This window comes from Homo sapiens, chromosome 6 (genome assembly GCF_000001405.40).
Source record: "Homo sapiens chromosome 6, GRCh38.p14 Primary Assembly".
Taxonomy (NCBI): Eukaryota; Metazoa; Chordata; class Mammalia; order Primates; family Hominidae; genus Homo; species Homo sapiens.
The window spans coordinates 5,203,030-5,224,958 of NC_000006.12; the positions used below are offsets into that span (position 1 = coordinate 5,203,030).

Consider the following 21,929-nt stretch of genomic DNA (forward strand, 5'->3'; position numbering starts at 1 on the left):
CTGAGTACTTGTCCACCTCTACAGGCATGTGTTTGAACATGCACACGTGAAATCTGTCCTTCATCTGTCATCAGAAAACAAATTCCTCAAATACAGACGATTAACTACCCACGCCCCCCGGACTTTGGTAACTTGCTCCAGGGGACATTCCATGATGCTCGGAAATACAGGCTGAGATGGGTATTACAGAAATCCAAGGAAAATTTCACTGAAGCTCTGATTAGGCATATCTTGTTGATCAGGCACCATTCTACGCACATGGGTATGGAGGAAAAGACAACTGTGAAATCAGGCCTTTCTGTCTGTATACAGTAGTCTGCTGCCTGGGACAGCTGCTTGGTAGGCCTCCTAATGGCTCCTGGTCCTGCCTCCCCATCTTCTGAATTTGAGAACACCTTTATTCAAATTAAGGGACTCCCATTTTTTACTTCCAAACACCACCTTGCCCTCCATGAGATTTTTCCTGAAGCCTTTATTTCACTTCCTTGCCTAGCAGTCTGCAATGTGATGGGAACGTTTAAAATATGGAAGATTACATGGACTGCAATTTTCCCTTGGCCCTCCTGATTCTATTCAGGTGGATATTCTTTTATCAGCATGCAATAAATATTTCACACTGAAACTGTCACTTGGAATTTAGTCTTCACAGCTCCACTTAATGCACTGAAAAGCGGCCGGGGAAGTCAGACGTGTATTATAACAAGAACAGCATGCCGAGAGCCTGCAGCTGGGCAGGGCCCCTCGTGTTGCGTCTAAGCGGCTGGAGAGCAGAAGCACATGAAAGAAGAACGGACAGCTGCTCCCTTTCCGCACACTTATGGGGCTGAAACCAAAGTGGGAACGTCTCCATCAGGATTTGTTTTAGCACTTGAGTTTTTAAAAGTAGTAAGGAAAAAGCAGTTTGAAGTATAGATGAGGCTGCAGCTGTCTCTTACTTACTGAACACTTATCATGGGCCCAGCGCTGTGCTGTGTGCCTCACAAACATTGTCAGTCTCCTTCACACCCCTAGGAAGGGCAGACAATTATGCCTATTTTACAGAAGAGAAAGAGTCCCACAGAAAGTCATTTGCCTAAACTCATAAAGCTTGGGAGTGATAGCCAGGACTTGAAACCACTCCTGTTGTACTCCTGGGCCTGTGCCTTCATGCCTTCCCGTGGGGCACCAGGGAAAATAAAAGAGTTCCACAGTCTCCTTTCATCCTGCTGGAACTTACCTCATGGATCACCTTTTCTTTTCAACTGACTCTGGGGGTGGGCTGGGGGACAGGGGAATACTCTAGTTTCCTTGGCTTCTTTTCTGGAAAGGGATATGCCCACTTCCTCAAGTAAAGGAGGAGTTTTAGTCTGAGTGTTTGTTAGTTAAGGATAACAGGACTCACTGGTGTGAAAGAAAAGCAGAATCGAAGGACCCCAAACTCATGATGCCAAAGGGAAAGGGAAGCTTGGGAAGTGAGTCACACAAAAACTGCCTTCCTTCTGCTCCCAAACAGGTAACTGACTTCTCCCTCCCTCTCTTCCCATGTGAAATGCAGACTCACTGAGCGCTAGTCAGAGCCTCACAAGGAAGGAACCACTTGCCTCACTGCTTACCCTCTCTCCTTTTTTTCCCTTTCCTCTCCTGCATGCTCTTTCCCCTTTCAACACTGAAGTTCCCAAAACCCTCTTTCAAAAAAGCACAGATGACAGATCCTCCCGTGACTTGTGTTTCTTTTTCCCGGGTGCATCCTCAACCTTGGCCAAATAAACCTCTATCGATTGAGATCTGCCTCGGTCACTTTTTGCTTTACACTGATCAGCAGCTTTGCTGTTTCCACAGGGTGCTAGTGCACATCATCTCACTTTGTCTATTCGCAAAGATGCTAAGTGGTGCACAGGGTAGGTGAAGACTTCTGGCCAGAAAGCAAGTCAGAGTCTGGACTGGAACCATCCTTCTGAGTTTCAGCGGAACTCCCTACGTTTTCCTACCAAGCCAGCTTGGCCTTATTATATTAGGCATTAATGGAGTGCTTTCTGCATCAACAAGGCACTGGGGATCACAGTGAATAAGAACAACGCTAATCCTCTGGAAGCTCACAGGGTAGGGACAGGATGACTTATTAAAATGCCATTCTAAAACAATGTGATCATGCTATTAAGCAAAGTCACAATAAAGTGTGTTGTTGGTCCAGAGAACAATGAGATTGCAGCAGGAAGAAAGGGGCAGGAAGGTCACTGAAGGCCTTCCCTAGGGGAGGAGGTGAATGCAGACACAAGTGCACTGGGTGTGCTGTGTGCCTCGTGCTGTGCTAGGTCCCAAGGACATGGAAGGCCCAGCCCTCCGGCATCCTGCAATCTGGCTGGAGAGAGACTCATGGTTACAAATCAACTGGAATACTGCAGAGGCTGGCCATAAAATACGACTATCGGGGGACAGGCTGAACACAGTACAGAAATAGACAGGAGCAAGCCATTTTCCGAGTGGTTCCCTGAACTGCCAGGGAGAGAAAAAAGTATGGTCAATGTCTTATAAAAAAAAACAGGCTGAGTTTCAAAAATTATTTCCAGTAGGAAAAATACTTTAATATTACAAAAAACATGAACAGCTATACAGACAGCAGTGAGCTTCAAATAATAGCTGATACTTATTTTTTAAAAAACAAAACACTAAGTTTGGCTCTGCTAAAATAGAACCTGGTTCAAAGCAAGAGGAAAATTTATTTTTGCTATTTTTACCAGCTCCCCCTTCTCCACCTCACTCCTTCTCAGAAGCTCTGATGAGTTCCAGGGAGGGAAACCTCATTCGTAAATGAGATATCTATAACCTATCACCTGTAGGAAAAGGCAGGTTCTCTTTTCCAGGTCACAGTACCCCAGAAATCACCATGATCCATGCAACACTCCTGCCATTGCTGGGTGTCAAAAGCTTTCACAAAGTGCAGCTCCAGGCTTTTCTCAAACAGGCCCCGCTGCTGGAGCCGACCGTGAAGAACCAGCATTACATAACTCAGCATTACATCATCCAGTTACTCCCCCATGTGCAAGAAAACACACTTGCTGGGAGATCTGGGCAGTCAGGCTTTCCCTTTATAGTCAGTTCAGTCAATAGAGAGGGTCAGTGACATAGCTCACCCTTGGTCAAAATCCAGCATTCACCAGGGTGTTTCTGGGACTTGGCAATCATTAGCATTTATTTTCAGAACCAGAAAATGTCAGGCATGAAAGGGACCTTAGAGATACACTGAGCAATCCTCTTTATCCACAGGAGGAAGCTGGCCTATGAGGGTTGGCTGCCAGCCAGTGGGGGGTGGGAGCAGAACCTAGGTCTCCTGGCTCGCTGGGCCAACAATCAGTGAGTATTTATTGGGCCCCCATGGCCTAGCTATCTCTGTGTGTAATTCCGAAATGCACTCACTTATCAGTGGAGTGGAATAGTCTAATGAAAGAAACCCCAAGGATCTCAACAAGGCAGTTAAATTTAGGTTGTAACAATAGAGCCAATTCCTGAAAAAATTCTTGTGCTATAAGGGATCTTGGAAACCAATATGCTCAAATTCTTACTTTCTACAGGTGAGGCCTAGAGGTGAGGACTTCATGGTGATGCTATCACTAACTTGTGACAGACTTTGAAGGGGAATCCTTATGACTTCAGGGTTGGTGCTATTTTTACTCCATTGAAGAGGCGGGAGGAGTGGGGAGAAGAGAAGTGCTTCTTAGACTGGATGAAATGGAAATGTTTGGGGAAAAGAAAGTAAGTAAAATACTGATTTAATTCCACACTAGCATTATTTAATCAAACTAAGGGCATTCTGGTACCACATTTTAGAGAATTCTTAGCGCCTTTTCAGTATTCATAACTGACCAATCCATGTAACTGACCAATCCATGAAATCGCAGCTTCATTACCAGACTAGGGAAGATATACAATTTCTGACAGATAGCTTGGCTCTGGTATTTCAAAAACACATTGAGTACAAAACTAGAATGGTGCTCCTTCGCCTTTAGTAGAAACACTGAGTGATGACATGACTTTAGACAGAGTCAATACCACGACCAAGGATAGACAGCTACTGAGTAAGTGTTATTAGGATTTAAATTTAGGTGTACCTTGCTCAAAACCTCTTCTCTTACTCACCACTCCTATTATATCTCAGGGAGGAAAAAGCCACGCCGTTTTTTAGACTGATAGATGTATAATTAGGAGAGATCTTCCCAACAGCACTGATGAAATGAGCTGTCACATATACACAGGTGAAATCCATCCAGTCCGAAAAGAAAATTCAGCTGCAGCTATCAAGGGCTCAGGAAATGAGTGCACACCCTCATATACACAGCAGGCAAGGGCTCAGAAAATGAGTGCACGCCCTCATATACACAGCAGGCAAGGGGCCATCACCTCCCTGCACCACAGAGGGTGCAACACAGAAATACAAATTAACACAAACAAGGGGGAGCCCCTTGGATTGTCTTTCCTAAAAGATGTGACACTGTTCCTTTGTCATCTTGGGAGAAGGTCTTCTGCATAAGCAGGACTGGAGTCAACTTTGATTACTTGAAAGGACAAGACAAGCAGTGAGGCATCAAAAAGTTTCCACTTAAGGGTACTTCAGTGATAGCTTGTCTGGAAAAGCACAATTGGAGCTGTAGCCTTCAGATCTATGGGGAAATTCTGAGCAAATACTTCTTAAATAAGGTGGTTGAACTTTCACATTTTCGGAGTGTAGTTTTCGTATTTATTTTCTTTTGACGGCAGAGAGAGAGAGAGTTTTCTGATATGTGATAAAGGAGCCTGGCCTCTAGGGATCAAGCTATTCATGAGCCTACAGAGGGTAAGCTGTTACCTTCTAACAAGAGCTCTAAATGAACAATTAGAAAAAGGAAACATGCATCTTGCCACTGTCTTTCATCTTCAATGTCTTGTCTCCTTCTGTCAAGATAAGGCCACCCATAATCTGATCCCTCTTCTGAGAGCTGGCTAACAAGTGAGAGTGCAGGTGGGCCCAACATTCTCCTAATTGTGTGTCCTTGGGAGAATTACCCCAGCATGTCAGGTCAGAATTTCCTCACCTAAAAAAATGAGGATAAGAGTTCCTTTCTCTTAGGAGACACTGAGACAACGTATTCAAAGTGTGGAGTACAGTGTGTGGTGCACAGTGTGTGTGTAAGGAAGCAGCACTGACAAGCACACATCATCACTGCTGCCACCACCATCATAAACTTGACTCTTTACAGATGTGGTAAATTAGGCAAATAGGCAACTTGCCTGAGATCATGAGGTAAAATATCATCTGAGCTGAGAACTTCCGCTTCTTGCCTGTGAGACCAATGTGCTTTCTCTGCCAGAGTTAATAATATCTGCTTCAGCATCAAAACAGTTCTTTAAGGAATTCCACAGTGAATGATATGAGGACTAAATGGGAGAAGGATGGATATCATAATAAAAATTCCCAAATGAAACTCTTGCAAAAGTTTTCTATACACAGCATTACTGCTGCCTTTTATGGGAGCACTCCAGCACATGGAAATACACTAAAGGAAAACTGTTGTATATGAAAGACGCATAGGGACAGGCTTCTTTTAGAAAGGAAATGGAATCTTGTTTTATGCACATCATCCTCGGAGGAATCAAGCAAAACTAACAGGCAATCTCCAACCAAATGAGAGACATTCCTTCCACAGGAACGCCAACTATGGGAATGCTGTTGCCCCAGACTCGAGGATTTACTGGAATTTCTAGAAAAAGCAGGGAGGAAATTAGTTCAAATTCCTATTTGAAGACATCTTTTTATAGCTGCAGAGGAATTATATATTAAATAGACTGAACAAATGAATGTCATACAGGGGCCAAGCTATAAAACTAAACAAACTGTCTCATTGCCTTGCTTTCTTAAACTTCGACAGGGGGCTGGGGAATTTTCCACTCATCTGGAAAAACTTCTTATATCCAAAAGATATAGGGTTCACTTAGGGGGCAGTTCTGGTCATTGTATATAAATTCATGTTGCTTTCCTGAGGATTTTTATTGAAGTCCAAGACAGAGTATTTAAATCTCCTTTGCCTCTGATGGGTTTATTATTACTTTTTATTTTATTACTATTATTTTTGAGATGGAGTCTCACTCTGTCGCCCAGGCTGGAGTGCAGTGACGCGATTTTGGCTCACTGCAACTTCCATCTCCCAGGTTTAAACAATTCTGCTGCCTCAGTCTCCCAAGTAGCTAGGATTACAGGTGCCTGCAACCAAACCTGGCTAATTTTTTTTGTATTTTTAGTAGAGATGGGGTTTCACCATGTTCGCCAGGCTGATCTGGAACTCCTGACCTCAAGTGATCCACCCACCTTGGCCCCCCAAAGTGCTGAGATTACAGGTGTGAATCTATTATTACTTTTTTATTACAATAGCCTATTATTACATTTTTATTGCACCCAGCCTATTATTACTTTTTAAATATGTAGATTGATCCTTTGATTTAATCGTAGTTGATTTATAAAGGTATAGGGGAAAGTGCTGCTGGCGTATGCTTTTAAACTTTATCCCTGTTCTATTAAATGAGCGAACAGATGGGACATTAGAAGTGGGAAGAGTGCTAGGTCCCTGAAGAGTCAAAATGAGAAAGAACTTCTACAAGGCCGGAAGGACCTCATAATTCCATGGTAACTCCCCATTTCATAATTATACGGCATAGAATGGGTGCTCAGTAAATATCTAGGAAAAGAAACCTTGGGCAATGGAATTGTAAACGACACAGTGTGTGTTACTTATCCAGCAGATGATGTGGAACATAGCTGAGAAGCCAACCAGGGAACAGGGAGAAATCAAACCAAGACACTAGTATAAACATTAAGATGGGGCTTGGGAAAAGCATTTAAATCTCTCTTTGCCTATCAGTTATTACATTATTGTTCTTCAACTATTATTTCATTTTCTTTGGAAGAAAACTGTCTGATCAGAGATATATTCTAGTACTGGTAACACATCTTCTACCAGGAAGGAAGAAGGCTAACAGCAGAGGTGCTAACAATATGAATGAAATAATTCAATTTTCTGGGTTTCCTTCTAACAGAAAGGCTAGATGAAGAGAAGTCTTTGGAATCTATAATGATATAAATATATAGCTGGCATATAACTTTGTTCATCTGCAGCCTAAACTCTGTAGTGTTAAGTTCTTGGTGAAAAATGGCCAAGGAAAACCAGGCATAGAGTAATTCAGTCTAACATGTATCAGTAGTTTCTGTAAATAGAGAAGAAGGGGACAGATATTTATGTGAATGTTGAACCATGGGATTTTAGAACTGGCAGCAGCCTTAGAAATTACAGTATAATCCTTTGGTTTTACAGATGAGAAAACAGAGGGCTCGCGGGTGTAAATTCACTAGTTCAAGCTTCAAATGACTTAAGCTTCCTATCCCTAAATACCAGCATCTGAAGAATTTAATTTCATGCTTCCAGTTAAAAAAAAAAACCAATGACTGGCTATAATTCGTTTTGAAAAAGAAGGGACTTATTTTTATTGTGGAAAAAACACAAACCATAAAATGTATCATCTTAACTATTTTTAAGCGTTTAGTGCAGCAGTGTTAAGTATATTCATATTGTTGTGAAACATGACCAGAACTTTTTCATCTTCCCAAATTGAAACTCTGTACCAATTAAACAATTTGCCTTTTTCTCCTCCTCCAGCCCCTGTTATTCATCATTCTACTTTCAATTTCTACAAATTTGACTACTTTAGACACCTCATATAAATGGAATCATACAGTATCTTTTTGTGTATGGCTTATTTCATTTAGTGTTAAGTCCTCAAGGTTCATCCATATTCTAACATGTAGCAGGATTCTGTTCCTTTTTAAGGCTGAATAATATTCTATTGTATGTATATACTATATCCTGTTTATCCATTCATTGTTGATGGACATTTGGATTGATTCTACCTTTTGGCTATTGTGAATAGTATATAATCATTTTCATGTATTTTAAATGTCCCTTAGATAGGGATTGACTTCCCTTTATTCCACTAAAACAAGAGGCATATTAATTTTATAAATTCTCTCAAACTATCAAATATTAATAATACTTAAGGTAAATGCATACAAGTGGAGAGATATGGGGTGCACTATCTGTTTTCCTGCAAAGGACCTCAAACATACCTACTTTTTCTCAGGCTGTTGTAAAAGGATGAGAACTGTGGGTAAGATATCACTTTCATTAAAGTTTTAACCACCATCTAGGGAACTGGAGCGGATATTGCAGTGACTGACAATGAGAGAGGGCCTGGTCATGATTTACTAGCTTCTAATTTCACAACAGCACATTCAAACACTGAACCATATAATAGCAAATAAAAGTAAAAATAAGTATGGTTTCAGAGACTCAACTACCACTACCCCAAACATCAATAAATTCAGCAAATTACTTTGCTTAGCGATCTACAAAAGGAAAAAAAAAGTGTAAGCTAAGAAACACTGAAAATGCTTCATCTCACACTTACATTAACAAAAATGGATGCTACGTGTAATGTTAACCCCTTTCCAATGATCTTTAATGGCTGTACATAGTGTCTGCTCTTAATTTCTTACAACTGCAGATTCTGAACTTGGGTGTAATACATCCACTATTTTGAGTTCCTTAACTAAAAAAGCACAAGCTTAAGAACAGCTGCTGTGGTAGAAAACAGTGACCCCTGAAAAGCTGATGGGAAGATGGGCATGACTCCAAAACCCTACCATTATCTAGAATTAGAACACATCCAGTTTATCTTCTTACTGCACAATTATGTACTATAGTAACAATATATTTTTTCATCCAAATACTTAGATTTTGCTGAATATTCCTGAAATCATGATCTTAATTCATTTGTTCAGGGGAATCTCATTAGAATCCAGAAACCCAGTTCTGGCAACTTCTCTGGTGCTGCATTCCCATTCCTGTTTCCCATTCCCAACACTCTATTTTACTGTTTTCTCTAGACATGAGGCTATGAAGCTAGCTCTATAACAAAGATTACAACTCTATTTCAAAATGCTTAGAAAATATTTTCTCTTTGGTGAACACTAAATCTCTATGAACTACACAGGGAAGGAAGGTGCCTCAGTGATGCTGATGCTGCAGGTCTCTAGAAGATGCTCGAAGAGCAGGTGCTAACAGACAGGAAATAGTGACACAAAACAAGGTACACTAGAGTTGTTTAAAAACCAAAGGGGTGTGGCAAACTGCAGAGCTACAATAAGCCAGGGCAGTTTACTGATAGTTATTCTAACTAACGCCTTGCAAATAGGGTCCAGAGGAGTATCTTTATTTAGAACAGCAAAATGGAGCAAAGTACAAAGACAAAAGCAAAATCTGGCTGCCTTTTTGCTGTTCCTGATGTAAAACACCTACGAAGCCTTGTTAATTGTCTGGGGTAGAAATCCTTTGGTGCTTCTTTGCTGCTCAGACTGTTTGAGAGCTATTTGCCCAAGCCTACAAACCACCCAGGTTTGTCCATTCTTTCTGGCTCCAGCTGGTCTGGACATAAAAGGCCTCTCAAATCTTTCTGATCTCACCTGGGAGGCAGATAGGGAAATTAGATTTAGTGGGGGCTAGCCCAGAACTTGCTTTCTGCAGAGAGGGAGAACCTATAAGAGCTTTCAGGGTCAGCTGGCTTTACAGAATCATCTTATATGGAAATAATGGCACTTTATCAAAAGGTAGAAGAATGTCTCTGCTAATTCTGGGCTATGACATGAGGCATGAAGTGGGAAAGAGATTCGAGACTGACAGACTGGATGGTAATTTTCCAGGGGAGACGTGGTCCAAGAATGTTAAGGAAAGAACAAGTGTATGTCTGGCTTCTACTGAGTGGGCCATAATCATGGAAAATGGGCAAAAGGAGGCTGACTTGCTTATCATGAAAGAAAAACGAGCTGCCACTTCTTGGAATGAGAGTAATCCTTAAGGACTGTGTGAAGGCTAACAAATGCTGATGTATCTAGAATCCCTCAGGGTTGCCAGAATGAAGACTGAAGATCTTGCACATTAAGGACATAAAGGAAGAATGAATGACCTCTGAGCAGAGTTGAAGTGCTCCTTAAATACCATCGGAACAAAATGGGAGGATGACTTAAGACTATCCTTCAGTTTCTACTGACTCAGGAGCCCATGTCCTTGAACTTCTGAGTTTGCTCTAAGGAGCTAGAAGACCTGAGCTCACGCCTGGCCATGTGGCCTTAGACAAGGCTTCCACCTTTCCTGCATCTCGGTTTCTCTACCCAGAAAACCAGGTCATTTTTGTCCAGAGACTTATTTTAAAAAGCAAAACTTACTAGGGTTATGGGACGCGGGGGTGGAGGGGTATCATTAGCACCACAGCTGACTCACGTGACTGAAGAAGCCACCCTCTGAAGAATGAGTGGAAAGCAGGGTGAGCAGGTAAGTGTTGTGGGTGAGATTTCAGTGTGAGCACTGCCTTTATGGCATGCATGTCTGGCAGCTGGAAAAGTGGCTGTGGGCTTCCTCACTGGTGGAACCGTGAAGCTGGGATCCATGTGCACCTGGGTGGGTGGGGCTTGGAGTCCAAATCTTCAAGTGGGAGAGAGACGTGATATGAAGAGTATCACAACTCCATGAGGGTTAATATGTCACGATCCCCATCAGATTTCCATATTCCTTTCATGGTTCATTCCTTCAGGAGGGAGACTGTGGGTGGCCAAAAAGACACCCTGATTTTGGTGGTATAGACCCTGCCACTGAGATGTATGATCTCAGGGAACATACTTCATGCATTTATTTAGTCAGTGAAAACTTACTAAGAGCCAGCTCTATGTGGGATGTTCTAGATCCTGTGGATAATAACAGCAAGCATTTGCATAACATTTCCTATGTGCTAGCATTATCCCGGGGGCTTTGCATATGTTAGTGTACTTGATCCTCACTACAACGCATGAAGTAGGGCTTACTTTCATCTGCAGTTTGCATTAGGCACTGAGAGGTTAAATATCTTGCTCAGAGTGACATAGCTAGTAGGCTGAGTCAGGATGTGAACACAGGCCGGCTGGCCGCAGAGTCCATGCTCTTCGCCACCCAGTGGAGATGATGACAGCGACAGGGGAGATCCCTGTCCTCATGGCCCCTGCCGTCTTGCAGAAGAGGGAGAAAATAGACAAGGCCACAAGTAATGTCATAGTAGGTACTGATAAGTGCTGTCACAAAAACTAAGGCAGGGCAGCGGAGAGAGAGAGAATCTGTTTTAGATAGTGTGGTCCCAGGGGGGCCCCTATGGGAAGGTGAAATCTGAGCACAGGCCTGGGTGGAAGGGGGAGGGAGCTACAGGAACATTTGGAGGGACTCCTCCAGGCAGGTGGTGCACAAGCATTGAGATGGGAGCAAGAAGTTCAAGGAAATAGGGAGTGTGAGGGAGAGGAGTGCAATGGAGGGCCTCTGGGGACCTCACACTGGCTTCAGGTTTTATGTTAGGGTGTCACGAAGCAAGAGCCTTGAAGGGGTTGAACGGGGCAGTGGCCCGATCTTTCTTTTGAAAAAGATCACTGTGGTGGTGGTGTGTGGAGAACAGACCATGTGTGGGGTGGAGTAGGGGCAGGGGCACCCGGAGGACAGGTCAGAAGGCTGCTACAGCAGCCAGTTACAGAGAACAGTGTGCAAGAATACAGACTCTCCACCTTGCCATAGGCTGTTAGTCCAAAGGCAACTTACGCCAGCTTGCAGCCAGATGGCCGGGGGAGCCACTGTGCCTTACGCCCTAACTACTGTAAAGGCTGCATGTGGATTCAGGAAGAGTCTTGACATGAAAGGGAAGTGAGTAGAAACTTCCCAGCTGCTGCTGTCTAACTGGTTCTCTGAAGGGATGAGAATGCTTTCATCCCTGAGGTGGTGACAGCAAGCTGTTCTGCAAGGTCGCCGTGTGTATTCTCCATCGGGAACGTGCAGTGGCCAGGCTGCCCTGGGGAGGGCGCCCTTGCCCTGCACATGCCACTGCTCCAGTGCGTCTGTCCTGGGAGGGGAACTCACTGGGATGTCAGATGAGGGCCAGTTTAGTATTTTTTTTTTTTTGCAAGGGTAGTTTGAGCATTTCAAACCAAGAAGTGACACAGACAATTAGATATAGCGGGAGAAATGATGGCACAGATTATTTACAATCCCCCTTTTCTAGGCAGTTTATACTCTGGATAATTTTACGCTAAAGATAAAACCTGCCTGTTTTGCCAACCTCTACACAGAGTAAGTGCCAAAGAACAAAATCTTTCTGAGTTTATGCAAAGTAAGAACTCAGCTGCTTGTTCTTCTATGCTCCACTGCTAAAGGACCTCATAAAATTCAACTACTGGTGACTGGAAATGCCATTGTTCTAGAGTTTTCAAAATGCTGACTCATATAAATGCCACTCTCAAAGTATACATAAATGTGCAGATCAGTTTCTTTTCTGAGTACCTTACTATCCTCATGGCTTTAGTTAGAGATCATTTCCTAGGCCTGTCTGAGTGTGGCAGTTACTGTATTACTAAATAGCTGTAGAACTCAAGGATGGTTAGGAGAATCCGAAATGCTATTCTAGAAAGAACTGTTACATTATGTAGGCAATATAACAAGACCTTTAATCTTGACATAAACTGCAAATTATAGTTTCAAATATTGCTTCTTTTTTGAATTCTTTTTAGAGTCAAGCATGAAGAAGGGTCAGGGAAAGATTATTATCTAATTTAATGTCAGCCAAGCTGGCATCTCTTGATGCTAAAGAAGCCCTTTCAAAACAGCACAGCATAACTTACAAAAATGGTAAAGAGTTTCCCCCTCCACACTTTATAAGCAAATTTCCTGCAAGTAAAAGGGAAACACGAATGGAAGCAGAAATGGAGTTTATTGCGTGATTGCTGCTAAGTCAAAGAAAAACAGTGAAAAGGGTGTTTTTTAGAGAGCAAGAAAACCCATCAGTGGACGGTGACTTTAACCTCTGACGTTCTAATTACTCTTGCGGATGTTATCAGACCACGCAGGAGATCATGCCGCTGCACATGCTCCACCCACCTCATGAGAATGAGAAAAGGAAGCACAAGTCAAGGTGATCCTTGGCACTTCCACAAAACGAAAACTAACACACCCTCCAGGTTCCTTTATGGGGTCAGCACCCAAGCAGCTGTACTTTACACCATCTGCACCTGCAGATGCACCTCCCATGTGGCAACGTAATTCAGGTTCACCACCCACAATGGTGTCTTCAAGAAAAGGGCCACGTTCTGTTTATCCTGAATTATGATTAAAAATACTAGGAAAGGGAGAATATATTTATACTCTGAAATATATCCAAGTACACATGTGCGATACATCTTACAAAAACTTAGCTTTCAAAAAAATTAATGCAGAAGTTTCTCATACTTAAAAGTATCAGCTTTCCAGAAGGATACACTCCCTGGAAATTCCGGAAAGCTGGTATTTTAAGTTCAACTTGAATCTGAAAATATGAGAGTTCACCTTTACATGTCTGTATTAGTACAAGGAACAGAGTTTCATGATCCTGCTCTGTAAATCACCAACACCAAAAGCACGGCTGTCTAATCAAGGGGAATATGTCGAAGTTTAAAGCTCTTAATGAAAAACAGTACATCATTGAACCATCTTACCTGTCGACGAATTACTCCAAGGTCTCTCTTGGCTTTATTCACTAGGGTTTGAATTTCTACAGGATCCTTTACATTTTTATTTTCTCTGAAGGCATCTCTTATCCTCCTGACAGCATATGTTCTAAATGAATTCAGAGGAAAAAAAAGAAAAGGTGTCAGCGTGTCTGAGGCTATGCTTTCAAATGAATTTTAAAGTTTTTCCTTTAGAATTAACTGTTTAATCTTCCCCTACGGATAATCCACTTTGATCTTTGCTCGTGGCGCAGGCTGATCCACTACCATTCTGGGATGACTAAGCAAACAGATTTAGGAAAATAAATCTACTCAACAAGTCACATACAAATGGCAAACTGCTACTGAAGTGTTCCTTAGATTATTGGTTCTTTAGCCTTATTCACATCTGGCTTCATTCCATTTACATGGATAATTGAACCTTTAGTGTACAGAGACAAATCAAGAACTCAGAGGTTAGCGGCAGTGAACCATGATGGTGCTACTGCACTTCAGCCTGGGCGACAATGCGAGACCCTGTCTTAAAAGAAAGGAAGAAAAAATTCAGAGGTTACATGACGATCGTATTTGCATGTACCCAGATAGTGACCTATGCTTTCCAGTCCTTGTCCCATATTCTGGCTCTCACTTCCCTTTCTGTTGTCCACATTAGGATCCCACCACAGTTGAACCTGTGGAATTAGGCCAACACGCTTTCTTTACCTCCATCTTGAAAGTGCACACGCCTACCACCCACCCCCAACCAGACAGCTCACTTGCAGTACAGGACAGCAGTTCCAGAGCAAGGCTTGCCCATCGGACAGGCTTGGGTTTGTAGCCTTGCTCCAGCTTCTACTGTTTGTGTGAACTTGGGCAAGCTTCTTAACACAAGGCCGTGTCTCCTCATCTGTCAAAAAGGCATAATACTGCTAAAGGCTGCTGGGAGGACTAGGCTTTATAATGTGTGTCTGGAATTTGGCCCAAAGCCTGTTACATAGAAAGACTCAATAAATGAAAGCTATTCTTCTTAACACTTGTTATGCCTTAATGCAATTACTGTTCCCTCTCCTCATGCCATAACCTTGCCTTCATCCTGCATCCTTACAGTCACACCATAGTGTGTGTACAGAAGGTAGAGTGGTGTGGATAATTAGCCACAACAGACAGCTCAGCAGTCCTTAGACACAGCCTCATACTCAGATGGCTATGGCCTATCTCTAGCTCTACCCCAACTACTCCAGATTGAAAGGCATAAGACTAAGGAGAAGCAGACTGAGCCAGGCATGTGAGACACCATTTTCTCTATGTTTTTTTTTTCTTTTTTAGAGATGGGGTGTCCCTCTGTTGCCCAGGCAGTGTCATGATCATAGCTCACTGCAATTGCAAACTCCTGGGCTCAAGTGATCCTCCTGCCTCAGCCTCCAAAGTGGCCAGGATTATAAGCACCCACCACCACGCCTGGCTAATTAAAAAAAATTTTGGGGGATGGGGACTTGCTGCGTTGCCCAGGCTGGTCTTAAACTCCTGGGCTCAAGCTATCCTCCTGCCTTAGCATCTCAAGGAGCTAGGATTACAAGCACACACCACAGTGCCTGGCTCTCTCGTCTTCTTAATGATCACAGACTGCTCTGCTTTTAACTTGGAGCACCGGTTAAAGAATCCATGTGATGCCAGTAGTAATATTTAGCAACAGAAGAATGGAAATACAGGCAAAGAAATGAGAGGAGGGGATATAAATTTCCTTGGGAGCAGCGCGGAGGGGGTGTTGGGAGCTCATATAACTTATTGGGAAACTTTATCTTAAAAAGGACAAATTGTTTCAGATAAAGTTTTTTAAAGTAAAAAGGCATTTTACATTAAAAAATTCAAATGTCAGGTCTATTTGCATTTAAAAGCAAGAGTAAAACTAAATCTTATGATACTAGGAATCATAAAGGAGAAGGGAAGAGTTTAGGAACCGGTACTTAGAATGTAAGACACTGCTGAGACTTTGATCTTAACCCTCTGTGAACCAGCTGGAGTATTTCAGAGGAGCTGCTGAGCGCTCAGTATCAATCCTAAAGGGCTACAGCGATTGGGCATGGAATCCATGTACTAGCAGCTGCTAAATAACTGGGGCTCATTCACTTCTAAAGGGATATGGGAGGATTTTACAAATGGAATACATCAGATACAGACTCTCCTCAGGTGCAGCTGCTAATCTAACAAGATTTTAGATAGCAGCTAGGTAAATTAACAGCAATTTCTGGCACTTTCTTGCATAGCCTAATGGCTATTTATAAAACACAGCATCACTGTTCTTCTTGACAACCACATACTCCTCCAAAGCAGTTTCTTTTTTGGCAATGATGGCAGCAAAGAGGGGACAAAATAATTTAATTCTAATATTTGTTCCACAGGCAAAATTGGTTTATAACATGAATTTACCTCCAGGAATCATCTATTGTTTAAATTTTTCATTTCGTATGCTGCATGGGCTTCTTGGAAAAACAAAATGGGCAACAGTAGCTATTGCTAAACTCATTTTTCTAAAAGCTAGTAACTAGCTTAGAATAGCTAGGAAAAAAGGAGTACTGTTTGGAATGTAAAGACCTAAGGTCTTCCAAAGTTTAAGGAAATGAGAAAATAGCTTAAAACACTCAACAATTTATATCAACTGAGCTCAAGGCCCAGGGTCAGGATATTCTGCTATGTATACTTGTTTGTCTCCCCAGCTCTCCAAAGTCCTTACCTAAAGAAAAGCAGCTCTAGATCTTGGAATTAAATGTGTCTAAAGCAATCAAGAGTCATGATTCAAATTTTCGATGCACTTTCGAGATGAATGCTGTAATGGTTCCCTCCTCTCTTTCCTGCTCTTTCTGCCTCACTTAAAGCACCCAGTGTTATTCTTCGCCCTAAGGGAAAATATTTCACTGGCTCAGAACCACAAAACTACTACTGCATGAAGAGTTTCTTCCTTAGTTGTAAGAATTCTTATTTCGAATGATCACAGCTTTGTGAAAGTCATCAAAAATCTGAGTGAATCTTCAAATTTGGTGGGAGGGGGCTAATCACCAGTTATTTCAATCCTGGCCCTGCCCTGGTTTTTATCATTTGCTTTTTTTTTTTTCTTTTTTCTTTGCTTTTCTTTTTTGCAGATTCTGGCTATCAGCCTCTTGACCATACCACTGAGCAAGAATATTTCAAAGAAAAATTTGCAGAAGTTGCTGTGAAAATGGCAGCTAGGTGCTACACAATGCTGTGCATTAGGATGATCCTAATGAGTCAGACGCTGTCTGAAATACGGCATGAAAAACTAACGCAGAAAGGGCAACACAACCAAATACAAAGCAGCAGCCCCACAGCCACAGAAACAGTGAGGTGATGATGCTCGCACACACACTGCCCTTTCCACTCTCCTGAAGCTTGGCAGTTTCTTGGTGCTTCTTTGCACAGGAGACTCCCATTTGGCTTTCCTTCTCCACCCCAGCCTTTGCTCTTCATTCTGTCATTAGATCTCAAGTGCCCACAGGTTCTTTTTACCATTGCAAGGATTATACTCTTTTCTGAGATTCTTCCACTCAAAACTCCAATTTCCCTGTTGCACAGCAGGCAGTAACGAAAGCTCTTCAGTGCTTGAGGTTCTGCTTTACTCTGTCCCCTCCCAGAAACACCAAATGCAGCCATAATCACAGCCTCTGAGCACTTGGAGGCTCATATCAGCTTTAGCATCCAATGTGTGATGTGGAAACCACCTAATGTAATGCCTTTCATTTCTGTCATCTTCATCAGCATCTCAAGTGCTGGTTTCTCTGTGTACCTATCCTATAAACACATCTGTGCCTTTTCTTGGTCCTCTGTAACCTGAACTCAAGTATCCTAGGAACAATAAAAGCTGAATCCTTTCTACTGGCCTCTGTGGGGCAAACTCATCTACCTCCAATGACTTGGAAGGACACATCCTCCACCTACTTGCCTTAACTGAAATGTGCAAGAGGAAGCTGCTAAATTCTAGCATGTCCCCATATTCCACAGGGCCCAGAGGAGGGTGCTGGTGTATTCCGGGAGCCTGCTGCTGCTTTCAGATCACTGATTCACCCTTATGCATCTTTGAGGTCATGCCATCTGACAATACTGTGTTGCATGCCTCCATGATACTGTTACTTGTTAATTTCTGGAGGTCAAGTCTTCATATTCAAGTCTTAATGTCTAAAGAGCACTCATTGCAATACACAGACCTCCAGTTTTAGGTTTCTTTTTTCAGAGACAGGGTTTCACTGTCACCCAGGCTGAAGTGCAATGGCCCTATTATAGCTCTCTGTAGCCTCAAACTCCTGGGCTCAAACGATCCTTCCGCCTCACCCTCCCAAGTAGCTGGGAATACAGCAGCATGCCACCATGACCTGCTAATTTTCATTTTGTAGAGAGAGGGTGTCACTATGCTGCCCAGGCTGGTCTCAAACTCCTGACTTCCAGTGATCCTCTTGCCTTGGCCTCTCAAAGTGCTGGGATTACAGGTGTGAGCCACTATATCTGGCCTAGCTACTCCTTCCCAAGCTCCTTTGTGGGCTCATCTCATTCTGCTGCCCCTTACATGCTGTATTCTCTAGGGCACATATGTGAACCATTTTTCTTATTCATAAGATCTCTGCCAGTAATTGCATCTGTCAAAGGTTTCACCTGCCATATAGATGCCATTGGCTACCAATATTTCTCTAGTCCAGACCTTCCTTCTGAGGTCCAAATCCATATACCCAATTGCCTTTTGCACTTGTCAACTAAAATATAGACTCTTCCAGTGAATACATTCAAAACCGAAGTGCCTGGCTGGGTGCGGTGGCTCATGCCTGTAATCTCAGCACTCTGGGAGGCCAAGGCGGGCGGATCACGAGGTCAGGAGTTTGAGACCAGCCTGGTCAACATGGTGAAACCCTGTCTCTACTAAAAATACAAAAATTAGCTGGGTGCGGTGGCACATGTCTGTAATCCCAGCTACCTGGGAGGCTGAGACAGGAGAACTGCTTGAACCCGGAGGCGGAAGTTGCAGTGAGCCAAGATCGCGCCACTGCACTCCAGCCTGGGCTACAGGGCAAGACAATGTCTCAAGAACAAACAAACAAACAAACAAAAACCTGAAGTGCTCATGATGACCAATACTTCCTTCCTCAGGTAGGAGAATCTTCATGCAGTCAACTGCCCAAGTCAAATACTTAGAGACTCATCCTAAATTCTTTCCTTTCCCAGAACTCCCTATATGCAACCAATCACAAATCTTCCAATCGTAACTTTCCACATCCCTTCTGAATCACCTCTACTTCTCCAACTCCTCAGCCCCAATCTTGGTTCAGGCTCTTCTCTCTCGAAGTTATTTAACATCCTTGGGGTTATGGTGTGTGTATGTGTGTAGTGTATAATCAAATGGATCACGATGCCTATGGAGAGGAAGCTCAAGGATCATTTGAAGGTCACACGGACTCTGGGTATATAACAGAGTGAAGAAGAGCAGAAAGTTTCTTTCTGATAATGTGAGCTCCTGGTACAATGTAAGCCCCACATAGCAGGAACTTTAATCTTTCTGGCTCACCACTGTATGTGTCTGGTACAGAGAAGATATTCAATACATGTTTAATGAATAAATGAGCTTATCAAAATATCATAGGCAATATCAAAAAGACCTTCAAGAAAAGTACCAATAACCAATAATGAAAACAAAACAATGAAAAAAGGGTTTGCAGCAAAAAGATTCAAACAACTTTTAGAAGGCAATGATTACAAAATTCAAAATTACAATTTATTCAAGAAATACATACTAAATGCCTACTATATAAGCATTATGCCAGGAGCTGGGAATACAGTGGAGAATAACTAGGGTACTGGTCTCAGGTTCGGTGGGTGACAAGATCTGTAGATAAAGAGATGAAATAAGAAACAGAAGCCATTCCAAGTTAACACAAAGGGCCCAAGGGGACTGGTTTGAGGTAATGGAGTGGTCCTTCTCTTGAATGGGGCGGTGTTTTCACATGCCCTTAGGTTTGTCAAATCATTGAACTGTACCCTTAAAATGGATGCACTTGATTGTATGTAAATTATTCCTCAGTAAGATGACTATTAAAGTAAATTAAAAAAAAGTATAGAAGTTATATTACATTTGCCCACTTTTAAGAAAAGCAAAACAAGAAAAAAAAAAAAAGAAAGATTAGAATGCTAGAGAATATGTACATGGCTGACAGAAGCAATAACACTGAATTAAAACAAGACAAACTAGAAATTCAAATCTAAAGCATGGAAAAATTAAATACGTTGGTGAGAAATATGTAAGAAAAAAATTAACCTTCAGAATAGGGCAAAGGTGTATAACCTATGAATAATAAGTGTGAACAAACTGAACTGCATGGGTAATTAAATTTATAATGGAAGGAAATGTCCCAGAAGTGATTATAAAAAATTGAGAAGACTCATCGTTGAAATTTAACAACCAGAGGACAATGCCAAGATATCTACTTATAAAACCCTGGACTCCAAGGTTAAGAGAAAGAATACTTTAAGGACAAAGAAAGAATTTTAAGCAGTTAATATCAAATGGAATACAGATAAGCACATCCTCAGATACCTATTTTCAAATCTTCAAAGAAAAGGGCTGCTTTCCACAGTCATTTGCATTGCTGTTTTGAGGGTACAATAGGATAACAAAAGAATATCATCAATTTCTGATACACATGCCAAGCACAGAGTAGTGTGCTAAGTACTTGATACATATTGATCTCATTTAATCCTCACAAACTACAACTCAGAGAGATTTCAAAAATGTAGGCCAAGATCGCATGTCTCGTAAGTGGCAGAGCTGGGTTCTGAACCCAGTTGACTCTAGAGCCTGTGATTTTCAACCCTAGGCTATTCCTCCTCCACAGGTCGATAAGCCCTATCCAATCTTTGTTAAGTACTTGGTATAAAGCCGAGTGGTTGTCCATTTGAACAGGCATTAAAAAAAATTGTCTCTGGCATCACAAAGCTTAAAAAGGTCATCTAACTTTTCAACTCTGCTTCAAGTGTTCCTATAAATAGTTCAGCGCCAAACATGTCTTAAGAAAAGACAAATGGACGAGAGCATTTCAAGGGAAAGAGCTATTAATAAAAGGACTAAGTGAAATAATTGAGTTTAATTGTTTTAAAAAGGAAGAGGGCAACCAATGGAGGCTCGTGGAGTGGCAGGTGAAATTACCATGAGAAAATCCATTTTGGAGATCAAAGCTTCGGGTTTTTGGGTAGTTGTGAATAAAACCTATTACACACTTCCCTGTTTAAAAATGCCTAATGGTTTTCCATTATCTTGAGATAACGGTCAACTGCATCGGCATGGATGGCCTACAGGACTCTCTGGATTCCTGCTCATCTCTCCCACTCCACCTAGCAGCTTCCAGCAAGGACCACCAACTCCGGCCATCCTGGAAGACTTGCAGTCTCCCTGGTTTTCTCTCCTGGAGGCCTGCTATTTCTCCACACATGGAGCGTCCTTTTCCAGCTGGATTCTTGGCTAACTCCTATTCATCTTTAAAGACCTAAGACAGTTAGAAACAAATATCACAAAATATTAATATCCTTAGAATACAAATAGCACATATAAATTGAGAAGACAATAAGACCACAGTAAATAAATTAGTGGCATAAAACAATAACTCACAAGAGACCACAGAGTGATGAAACAGACAGATATAGATGTGTGAATGTTCAGCCTCAGTCACAATCAAACAAATGAAAATTTAAATGAGGCATCATTTTGTGTCCATCAAATTACCTGCAGTTTTTGAAAAGACAAAGGGACAGGTACACCCTGCTGGTGTGAGCACGGACTGGTACTTCCTGTGAAGAAAACAGTATACTAATGGATGGATACTGATGTTCTTAATATTTTACCCAGTAATCCTACTTTTAGGGATCTATCCTACAGAAATAACCTGAAATATGCAGATATATACAGAATGATGTTCGTTTTAGATTTATAAGCATTAAAAATAGAAACCACCTAAGTTTTCAATAATAGAGAATTGGCTACATAAATTATGAAATTATATAGCTTTAAAAACAGATGTTTCAGCCAGGCACGGTAGCTCCTGCCTATAATCCCAGCACTCTGGGAGGCCGAGGTGGGTGGATCACCTGAGGTCAGGAGTTTGAGACCAGCCTGACCAACATGGTGAAACCCCATCTCTACTAAAAATACAAAATTTAGCCAGGCATGGTGATGCATGCCTGTAATCCCAGCTACTCGGTAGGCTGAGGCAGAAGAACCACTTGAACCTCGGAGGCGAAGGTTGCAATGAGCCGAGATTGCGCCACTGCACTCCAGCCTGGCTAACAAGAGTGAAACTGTCTG

General features: G+C 42.1%; 1 protein-coding gene and 1 long non-coding RNA gene across 11 annotated transcripts in view, besides 1 other annotated feature; one reads left to right on the plus strand and one right to left on the minus strand.

Moving 5' to 3' along the window:
• Positions 1 to 21,929, plus strand: part of LYRM4-AS1 (LYRM4 antisense RNA 1) — a 236,681-nt gene that overhangs the window by 199,214 nt on the left and 15,538 nt on the right. The gene's annotated exons all lie outside the window — the stretch shown is intronic.
• LYRM4 (LYR motif containing 4) overlaps positions 1 to 21,929 on the minus strand; it is a 229,198-nt gene that overhangs the window by 171,277 nt on the left and 35,992 nt on the right. For 9 of the 10 annotated variants that reach the window (NR_134856.1, NR_104417.2, XM_017011084.3 and 6 more), the window contains exon 2: positions 13,589 to 13,709. The exons of the other annotated variant lie outside the window; for it this stretch is intronic. Coding sequence is in view for 7 of the 9 variants with exons in the window: in XM_017011084.3 (XP_016866573.1) it covers positions 13,589 to 13,709 (121 nt within the window). In the remaining 2 variants the exon portion in view is untranslated. The remainder of the gene's footprint in view (positions 1 to 13,588; positions 13,710 to 21,929) is intronic. 10 annotated transcript variants of the gene reach the window in all.
• Positions 5,726 to 6,020: a silencer, noted in NCBI's record as "tiled region #15549; HepG2 Repressive non-DNase unmatched - State 15:Elon". NCBI's record gives its function as "represses a minimal TATA promoter and a strong SV40 promoter by Sharpr-MPRA in HepG2 cells {active_cell/tissue: HepG2}" and the evidence as "EXISTENCE:reporter gene assay evidence [ECO:0000049][PMID:27701403]".